General features: G+C 39.5%; 1 annotated feature.

The window, feature by feature from the left end:
• Positions 5,230-5,824: an enhancer, noted in NCBI's record as "H3K27ac-H3K4me1 hESC enhancer chr13:108578206-108578800 (GRCh37/hg19 assembly coordinates)". NCBI's record gives its function as "activates a minimal SCP1, AML or CMV promoter by ChIP-STARR-seq in naive and primed H9 embryonic stem cells {active_cell/tissue: H9 hESC(naive and primed)}" and the evidence as "EXISTENCE:reporter gene assay evidence [ECO:0000049][PMID:30033119]".

Below are 11,226 nucleotides of genomic sequence, written 5' to 3' on the forward strand. Positions count from 1 at the left end.
TTTTATTTTTTTTTTCAGTAACTTCTTTTTTATTTATTTATTTATTTATTTATTATTATACTTTAAGTTTTAGGGTACATGTGCACATTGTGCATGTTAGTTACATATGTATACATGTGCCATGCTGGTGCGCTGCACCCACTAACTCGTCATCTAGCATTAGGTATATCTCCCAGTGCTATCCCTCCCCCCTCCCCCAACCCCACCACAGTCCCCAGAGTGTGATATTCCCCTTCCTGTGTCCATGTGATCTCATTGTTCAATTCCCACCTATGAGTGAGAATATGTGGTGTTTGGTTTTTTGTTCTTGCGATAGTTTACTGAGAATGATGATTTCCAATTTCATCCATGTCCCTACAAAGGACATGAACTCATCATTTTTTATGGCTGCATAGTATTCCATGGTGTATATGTGCCACATTTTCTTAATCCAGTCTATCATTGTTGGACATTTGGGTTGGTTCCAAGTCTTTGCTATTGTGAATAATGCCGCAATAAACATAAGTGTGCATGTGTCTTTATAGCAGCATGATTTATAGTCCATTGGGTATATACCCAGTAATGGGATGGCTGGGTCAAATGGTATTTCTAGTTCTAGATCCCTGAGGAATCGCCACACTGACTTCCACAATGGTTGAACTAGTTTACAGTCCCACCAACAGTGTAAAAGTGTTCCTATTTCTCCACATCCTCTCCAGCACCTGTTGTTTCCTGACTTTTTAATGATTGCCATTCTAACTGGTGTGAGATGGTATCTCATTGTGGTTTTGATTTGCAGTTCTCTGATGGCCAGTGATGATGAACATTTTTTCATGTGTTTTTTGGCTGCATAAACGTCTTCTTTTGAGAAGTGTCTGTTCATGTCCTTTGCCCACTTTTTGATGGGGTTGTTTGTTTTTTTCTTGTAAATTTGTTTGAGTTCATTGTAGATTCTGGATATTAGCCCTTTGTCAGATGAGTAGGTTGCGAACATTTTCTCCCATTTTGTAGGTTGCCTGTTCACTCTGATGGTAGTTTCTTTTGCTGTGCAGAAGCTCTTTAGTTTAATTAGATCCCATTTGTCAATTTTGTCTTTTGTTGCCATTGCTTTTGGTGTTTTAGACATGAAGTCCTTGCCCATGCCTATGTCCTGAATGGTAATGCCTAGGTTTTCTTCTAGGGTTTTTATGGTTTTAGGTCTAACGTTTAAGTCTTTAATCCATCTTGAATTGATTTTTGTATAAGGTGTAAGGAAGGGATCCAGTTTCAGCTTTCTCCATATGGCTAGCCAGTTTTCCCAGCACCATTTATTAAATAGGGAATCCTTTCCCCATTGCTTGTTTTTCTCAGGTTTGTCAAAGATCAGATGGTTGTAGATATGCGGCGTTATTTCTGAGGGCTCTGTTCTGTTCCATTGATCTATATCTCTGTTTTGGTACCAGTACCATGCTGTTTTGGTTACTGTAGCCTTGTAGTATAGTTTGAAGTCAGGTAGTGTGATGCCTCCAGCTTTGTTCTTTTGCCTTAGGATTGACTTGGCGATGCGGGCTCTTTTTTGGTTCCATATGAACTTTAAAGTAGTTTTTTCCAATTCTGTGAAGAAAGGCATTGGTAGCTTGATGGGGATGGCATTGAATCTGTAAATTACCTTGGGCACTATGGCCATTTTCACAATATTGATTCTTCCTACCCATGAGCATGGAATGTTCTTCCATTTGTTTCTATCCTCTTTTATTTCCTTGAGCAGTGGTTTGTAGTTCTCCTTGAAGAGGTCCTTCACATCCCTTGTAAGTTGGATTCCTAGGTATTTTATTCTCTTTGAAGCAATTGTGAATGGGAGTTCACTCATGATTTGGCTCTCTGTTTGTCTGTTGTTGGTGTATAAGAATGCTTGTGATTTTTGTACATTGATTTTGTATCCTAAGACATTGCTGAAGTTGCTTATCAGCTTAAGGAGATTTTGGGCTGAGACAATGGGGTTTTCTAGATATACAATCATGTCGTCTGCAAACAGGGACAATTTGACTTCCTCTTTTCCTAATTGAATACCCTTTATTTCCTTCTCTTGCCTAATTGCCCTGGCCAGAACTTCCAACACTATGTTGAATAGGAGTGGTGAGAGAGGGCATCCCTGTCTTGTGCCAGTTTTCCAAAGGAATGCTTCCAGTTTTTGCCCATTCAGTATGATATTGGCTGTGGGTTTGTCATAGATAGCTCTTATTATTTTGAGATACGTCCCATCAACACCTAATTTATTGAGAGTTTTTAGCATGAAGGGTTGTTGAATTTTGTCAAAGGCTTTTTCTGCATCTATTGAGATAATCATGTGGTTTTTGTCTTTGGCTCTGTTTATATGCTGGATTACATTTATTGATTTGCATATATTGAACCAGCCTTGCATCCCAGGGATGAAGCCCACTTGATTATGGTGGATAAGCTTTTTGATGTGCTGCTGAATTCGTTTTGCCAGTATTTTATTGAGGATTTTTGCATCAATGTTCATCAAGGATATTGGTCTAAAATTCCCTTTGTTCATTGTGTCTCTGCCCGGCTTTGGTATCAGGATGATGCTGGCCTCATAAAATGAGTTAGGGAGGATTCCCTCTTTTTCTATTGATTGGAATAGTTTCAGAAGGAATGGTACCAGTTCCTCCTTGTACCTCTGGTAGAATTCGGCTGTGAATCCATCTGGTCCTGGACTCTTTTTGGTTGGTAAACTATTGATTATTGCAACAATTTCAGATCCTGTTATTGGTCTATTCAGAGATTCAACTTCTCCCTGGTTTAGTCTTAGGAGAGTGTATGTGTCGAGGAATTTATCCATTTCTTCTAGATTTTCTAGTTTATTTGCGTAGAGGTGTTTGTAGTATTCTCTGATGGTAGTTTGTATTTCTGTGGGATCGGTGGTGATATCCCCTTTATCATTTTTTATTGTGTCTATTTGATTCTTCTCTCTTTTTTTCTTTATTAGTCTTGCTAGCAGTCTATCAATTTTGTTGATCCTTTCAAAAAACCAGCTCCTGGATTCATTAATTTTTTGAAGGGTTTTTTGTGTCTCTGTTTCCTTCAGTTCTGCTCTGATTTTAGTTATTTCTTGCCTTCTGCTAGCTTTTGAATGTGTTTGCTCTTGCTTTTCTAGTTCTTTTCATTGTGATGTTAGGGTGTCAATTTTGGATCTTTCCTGCTTTCTCTTGTGGGCATTTAGTGCTATAAATTTCCCTCTACACACTGCTTTGAATGCGTACCAGAGATTCTGGTATGTTGTGTCTTTGTTCTTGTTGGTTTCAAAGAACATCTTTATTTCTGCCTTCATTTCGTTACGTACCCAGTAGTCATTCAGGAGCAGGTTGTTCAGTTTCCATGTAGTTGAGCAGTTTTGAGTGAGATTCTTAATCCTGAGTTCTAGTTTGATTGCACTGTGGTCTGAGAGATAGTTTGTTATAATCTCTGTTCTTTTACATTTGCTGAGGAGAGCTTTACTTCCCAGTATGTGGTCAATTTTGGAATAGGTGTGGTGTGGTGCTGAAAAAAATGTATATTCTGTTGATTTGGGGTGGAGAGTTCTGTAGATGTCTATTAGGTCCACTTGGTGCAGAGCTGAGTTCAATTGCTGGGTATCCTTGTTGACGTTCTGTCTCGTTGATCTGTCTAATGTTGACAGTGGGGTGTTAAAGTCTCCCATTATTAATGTGTGTGAGTCTAAGTCTCTTTGTAGGTCACTAAGCACTTCCTTTATGAATCTGGGTGCTCCTGTGTTGGGTGCATATATATTTAGGATAGTTAGCTCTTCTTATTGAATTGAGCCCTTTACCATTATGTAATGGCCTTCTTTGTCTCTTTTGATGTTTGCTGGTTTAAAGTCTGTTTTATCAGAGACTAGGATTGCAACCCCTGCCTTTTTTTGTTTTCCATTTGCTTGGTAGATCTTCCTCCATCCTTTTATTTTGAGCCTATGTGTGTCTCTGCACGTGAGATGGGTTTCCTGAATACAGCACACTGATGGGTCTTGACTCTTTATCCAATTTGCCAGTCTGTGTCTTTTAATTGGAGCATTTAGTCCATTTACGTTTAAAGTTAATATTGTTATGTGTGAATTTGATCCTGTCATTATGATGTTAGCTGGTTATTTTGCTTGTTAGTTGATGCAGTTTCTTCCTAGTCTCGATGGTCTTTACATTTTGGCATGATTTTGCAGCGGCTGGTACCGGTTGTTCCTTTCCATGTTTAGCGCTTCCTTCAGGAGCTCTTTTAGGGCAGGCCTGCTGGTGACAAAATCTCTCAGCATTTGCTTGTCTGTAAAGTATATTATTTCTCCTTCACTTATGAAGCTTAGTTCGGCTGGATATGAAATTCTGGGTTGAAAATTCTTTTCTTTAAGAATGTTGAATATTGGCCCCCACTCTCTTCTGGCTTGTAGGGTTTCTGCCGAGAGATCCGCTGTTAGTCTGATGGGCTTCCCTTTGAGGGTAACCCGACCTTTCTCTCTGGCTGCCCTTAACCTTTTTTCCTTCATTTCAACTTTGGTGAATCTGATAATTATGTGTCTTGGAGTTGCTCTTCTCGAGGAATATCTTTGTGGTGTTCTCTGTATTTCCTGAATCTGAACATTGGCCTGCCTTGCTAGATTGGGGAAGTTCTCCTGGATAATATCCTGCAGAGTGTTTTCCAACTTGGTTCCATTCTCCCTGTCACGTCACTTTCAGGTACACCAATCAGACGTAGATTTGGTCTTTTCACATAGTCCCATATTTCTTGGAGGCTTTGCTCATTTCTTTTTATTATTTTTTCTCTAAACTTCCCTTCTCGCTTCATTTCATTCATTTCATCTTCCATTGCTGATACCCTTTCTTCCAGCTGATCGCATCGGCTCCTGAGGCTTCTGCATTCTTCACGTAGTTCTCGAGCCTTGGTTTTCAGCTCCATCAGCTCCTTTAAGCACTTCTCTATATTGGTTATTCTAGTTATACATTCTTCTAAATTTTTTTCAAAGTTTTCAACTTCTTTGCCTTTGGTTTGAATGTCCTCCCATAGCTCAGAGTAATTTGATCGTCTGAAGCCTTCTTCTCTCAGCTCATCAAAGTCATTCTCTATCCAGCTTTGTTCCGTTGCTGGTGAGGAACTGCGTTCCTTTGGAGGAGGAGAGGCGCTCTGCTTTTTAGAGTTTCCGGTTTTTCTGTTCTGTTTTTTCCCCATCTTTGTGGTTTTATCTACTTTTGGTCTTTGATCATGGTGATGTACAGATGGGTTTTTGGTGTGGATGTCCTTTCTGTTTGTTAGTTTTCCTTCTAACAGACAGGACCCTCAGCTGCAGGTCTGTTGGAATACCCTGCCATGTGAGGTGTCAGTGTGCCCCTGCTGGGGGGTGCCTCCCAGTTAGGCTGCTCGGGGGTCAGGGGTCAGGGACCCACTTGAGGAGGCAGTCTGCCCGTTCTCAGATCTCCAGCTGCGTGCTGGGAGAACCACTGCTCTCTTCAAAGCTGTCAGACAGGGACATTGAAGTCTGCAGAGGTTACTGCTGTCTTTTTGTTTGTCTGTGCCCTGCCCCCAGAGGTGGAGCCTACAGAGGCAGGCAAGCCTCCTTGAGCTGTGGTGGGCTCCACCCAGTTCGAGCTTCCGGGCTGCTTTGTTTACCTAAGCAAGCCTGGGCAATGGCGGGCGCCCCTCCCCCAGCCTCACTGCCGCCTTGCAGTTTGATCTCAGACTGCTGTGCTAGCAATCATCGAGACTCCGTGGGCGTAGGACCCTCCCAGCCAGGTGTGGGATATAATCTCGTGGTGCGCCGTTTTTTAAGCCCGTCGGAAAAGCGCAGTATTTGGGTGGGAGTGACCCGATTTTCCAGGTGCATCCATCACCCCTTTCTTTGACTGGGAAAGGGAACTCCCTGACCCCTTGCGCTTCCCAAGTGAGGCAATGCCTCGCCCTGCTTCGGCTCGCACACGGTGTGCGCACCCACTGACCTGCGCCCACTGTCTGGCACTCCCTGGTGAGATGAACCCGGTACCTCAGATGGAAACGCAGAAATCACCCGTCTTCTGCGTCACTCACGCTGGGAGCTGTAGACCTGAGCTGTTCCTATTCGGCCATCTTGGCTCCTTCCCCCTGTTAGAGTATTTTAAACCAATTTCTTTTTAGCCTGCAGAATTTCCTTGCATTTCTTATAATGAAGTCAGCTGTCAGCACATTTTCTTAGTATTCATTTATCTGAAAATATTTTTATTTCACTTCATTAGCTAAAGTTAATTTATGGATTATGTTTTACATAAAATGGATAAATTAGTATATAATCAGATAAATTTTGTCAGATGTTTGCAACTATAAAACCACATCATTCAATATACAGCGTGTTTTTATCACTCCAGAAAGTTATTTGTACCTCTTTGAATCCAGTCCCAGAGTACCTCTCACCTAAATAATTTATTTGATTTATGTCACTATATATTATTTTCCCTGTTGTGGAAATTCACATAAATGGAATTATAAGGTATGTACTCTTTTGTGTCTAGCTTCTTTCATGTAACATGATGTTTTTGAGATTCAGTGATGTTTCATAAATCAGCATTTCATTACTTTTTGTTGAAGAATATTTTATTTTATAAATATAATTTGTTTATACATTCACTTCTGGAAGGATATTTGGATTATTTTTATTTGAGTTTATTATAAGTTTTTAAAAAGCAGTACAAGTGTGTATAAGTCTTTTGTGGAAGTATATTTTTATTTCCTTTGAAAAAAACTTCTGGAAAAAGTTTCTGGGTCCTATGGTAAATGTATGCTTAACTTTAAATAAACCACAATAAAGTCATCAAAGTTGTACCATTTTACACTACTATTAACAAAATTTGAGTTTAGTTGCTTCACATTCTGGCCAATACTCTTAATTATACTCACTTTAGTGGTTATGAAATAGTACTATGTCATTGTGGTTCCATTTTGCAATTTGCTAATCACTAATGAATTTCAACAGTTGCTCTTGACTTATTGGCTATTCCTGTGTCTTTTTGCAGAGTTGTAAGAGATGGCTATATATTCTGGATATAAGTCCTTCAACAAATGAATATATTACAAATATTTTTCTGATGTCTGTGACTAGAATCCTTTTCGTTTTTTAGAGACGAGTTCTCACTCTGTTGCCCATGCGGGTGTTCTGGGGCACCTTCTTAGCTTACTACAGCTTTGAACTCCTGGACTCAAACAAACCTCCCACCTTGGCCTCCTGAACTGCTAGAATTACAGGCATGAGCAACCGCACCCAGCCTCATTTTCTTACTAGTTCTTTTGAAGAGCAAAATTTTTTAATTTTGATGAAGTTCAATTCATATTGTTTTCCCTATTCAATATTAGTAGAATTTTGTTTGTAAGATACCTTTGACAACTTCAAGGGTGCATATATTTCCTGCTACTTTTTCTAGAAACTTTACATCTGAGGTATGTATCTAATTAATTTTGTGTACGATATAAGGTAGAAGTCACAGGTAATTATCCCCTCACACAAATATCTAGTCATTGCAAGTCTATTTGTTTGAATGACTGTTTTTTTCTCATTGAATTATGTTGATACTATTGTTGACTATCAGTTGACTATTAAGTCTAATTCTGGACCCTTTGTTTTGTACCAACTATCTATGTGTATACATTTATACTGTTACCACACAGTCTTGTGTACTATAGCTTTATAGTAAGTTTGAAGTCAGGTAGGGTAGATTGTCCAGATTTATCCTTCTTTTCAAAGTATTTTTGACTATTCTACTCTTTTGCCTTTTGGTATTTTTTTTAGAACCAACATGTCAATTCCTACCAGAAAAATAATAATTGGAATTTTGATTGGGATTTTGATGATCCAAAGATTAACTAGAGAATAGTGGACTCTTACTACTATTATGCCTCCTAGTCCATGGACATATTATATTTCTCTATTATTTAGGTCTTATTTAACTTCTCTCAACAATGTTTTGCACATTATTCGTTTGATTTATTCATAAGTTTTTAAATGCACTATGCTATTGGAAATAAAATAATTTAAAATGTAATTTTCCAAAGTTCTATTATTAGCATACATAAATGACCAATTTTTGTATATTGACTTTGTATCATTTAATTTTGCTAATCTAACTTTAATTCTAGTAGTTTTTGGTAGGATCTTGTGTATTTTCAATATAGACAGTAGTTCATATATCTATCATGATGGATAATAATATTCAATCCTAAAAACAACTCATCCTAGTAGACTCTATTTTCTTTATTTCATAAAAAGAGAAAATGAGTCAAGTGTTACGTGACTTGCCTGAAGCCTCCTCACTCACAGGTGCTAGAGCTGGGATTCACATTGGATACATCTGACCCCACAGCCAGAGCTTCTTGGGCTAGGCTGCGCTGCACTGCCTCTGCGTGCTCCATCCCCTGGATGTCTCAGTATGACAACTGAGAGGAGAATGTTGCCTCACCTTGTTCAGTCTCAGCTGGGGGTGGTGTGGCAACTCAGATTCTTGGTTGCTCTGTGCATATCTGCCAATGACCACAAAGACACTGCTTGAATATTGATTCTGTGGTCACAAATAAATTTTAGTTGAACTTTCAAATGTAGAATCTATGAATAATGGGAATGGACTGTATTTAGCACTCTAAATCCAGATAGCACTTATAAATAAGTGAAGGTAGAGCTAAGAAGAAATACAAATATTGAGTCTTGAGGCATTTAACACATAGCCACACCCACCAACAGAGAGCACGGGAGAGGGACAGGGAACATAGCCTGCACAGTGATCTGGGAAGACCCAATACGTGATGAGGAAAACCGGAAGAGTGTCTTAGAAATTAAACAAGGAGTTTCAGGAAATGGCCAAAGAGAGGAAATTCGAGAAAAACAGATTTTCGTCACATGGAGGTTGCTGGTAATCTTGGCAACAGTAGGTTTAGTGGATTTGTTGAGATACATTTAAATTAATATTCCAGCTATCTATTGCTGCCTAACAAACCACTCCAAATTAGTGGCAGAAAACAACTTTTTTAATGCTTATGATCCTGGGAGTCAGAAATTTGGTTTGGACACAGCAGAGACCATTTGACACCTCTCTATGTGTCCCACCTAGTTGGCATGGCTCAAATGGTGAGCAATGGCTAGGGAGGTTGACTGGCTCTGTGTCTGGGTTCAATCTTGTGGCATCTGCTGGAGTTGGGTTTTCCAACATGTCTCCTGCACTACACTGGCTGGCACTGCTCCTGCTCTCTATACACCCAGATTGGGCTTCCTCGCAGCATGGCAGGCTCAGGACAGTTGGACTTTTTGCATCCCAGCTGCATTTCCCTGATCTAGCATTCAAGAAGACAAAGAAGGAAACTAAACGACTTCTTATGACTCAGCCTCAGAAGACATATATATAGCCTGGAAATTAGGGATACGATTCAACTGGAAAAACAAAAACATTGTGGGCAAGAGTAGATGAGATTTATTCCACAAATGGAGAGGTTATAATTAGCTTTCAGCTTAGTAGGTCTATTTATGATCACAGCAGGAAAGGTAGAACACATGGGCATAGTGGCGTGAATGTGGGGATTTAGTAATGAGAGAATAGAAGTTTCTCTTCTATTTGACTCAATTTTCTCTGTTAAATGAGAAGAAAAGCCAACAGTTGAAAACAGGGCGTCAGTGGGCTTGAGTTAGAAGATGGTAAATGTTGTTTGAGGGTTATAATATGTGAACCACCTAACAACATGAAATAGCAGGACTCTAATAAAGGATGTTATATAATTCACTGTGCACTATGTTCTGTCCCCTGCTTCTCTGGGGTCCTTCTACTTACTGACATGAAGCCAGTAGGCAATGTGAGTTTTCTCTACCTACCAGCCTACCGAGAGCATCCTCTTGAAAAGTCTGCACCTTATCCCACAGCTACATCCAACTCTGTCCCGGATAGCTGCCCCTTCTAGCTCCTTCCTCATTAGAGGGTCCTAGATGATGGTCCTCCTATTACATCACTTTTCTGGATTAAACATCATTCTATTTATCATATTTCTTTGCTCATTAAATTTTTTTTGCTAGATCTCATACTAGAACAACAGCAACATTATCTGAAGTACCAGCCCATCCCAACTCATTTACTAGTAGACGCATATTTTAACTATAGCTATAAAGACCCATGAAAGAACCACTCCATCACACAAACTGTGTAAAAAAAGGCACAGTTTGGGCTTTCTGAAATGGACAAAGATTATTTCTTTTCTCTTTTTTCTTTTCTTTTTACCTTTTAGTAGGTGAAAAAAAAATGAGTTCCTGCAAATTCGTGAAATATGCTGGATCACATAGGAGGTGGTAATTTCTGAAGGGCTGACTCAAACCTAGTTCCTCTGTCCCCAGAAAAAAAATTATCTTTCCACTGTGATCACGTTTAAGCCCATTCTTGAAATAAAGTACAGTTTATAACTTCAGATGTTTTCAAAACTGAATTTGCAAAGAGGAGAAAATGGGCAATCCTTGTCCCCAGCCTTTAGGCACCATCACCTACTTCTCTGCATTGTGGAAGAAGGCAACGACACTAACATTTAAACTACTGCATGAGAGGATGACGGCTGTAAGTTTATTTCATATTAGCATTCATTTTATAGATTTTCCTCTCTGACTAGAAATATCGCTTGAACTCCACTCACCATGGCAACAAAACAGCTGAAGATTCTTACAGCTTGCCTAGTGAAGAAAAATACTTGAAAATATCCTTTGATGCTAAAATTGGTTTTGTTTTCACAGTAACACATGAAGCAACTGAGGGACAAGGGATATCACCGTGTATTTCAAAAGATGGATTCACCCAGAAGGAGCATTGAGGGTATATCAGAAAGAGAGGAAAAGAGTGAAGGAACAAAAGGAAGGGAGGAAGTACAAAAAGAAAGAAGGAAGGAAGGAAGGAGGGAGGGAAGGGAAGGGGAGGGAAGGGAGGAGGGAGGGAGGGAGGAAGGAAGGAAGGTAAGAAAGAAAGGAGGGAGGGAGGAAGGAAGGAAGGAAAGTGAGGCAGACCACAGCATGTTTATATCCTTGAAGGCACATTTATCCACACACGTGCTCCCCAAAATCATTCCTCATCCATACCATTGCACACACTTTGTTGTTGGATATCTTCACTTTGTTGTTTATCTGGCTGTTTCCTACAATTGGATTGTTATTTCCTTGAGAGCAAAGACCATGCTTTACACATCTTTGAACTCCTATTGTTCTTTTTAAGTGTGTGCTGGGTAAACAACTAAATTAAGATTTTTATC

Source organism: Homo sapiens, chromosome 13, assembly GCF_000001405.40.
Source record: "Homo sapiens chromosome 13, GRCh38.p14 Primary Assembly".
NCBI lineage: Eukaryota > Metazoa > Chordata > Mammalia > Primates > Hominidae > Homo > Homo sapiens.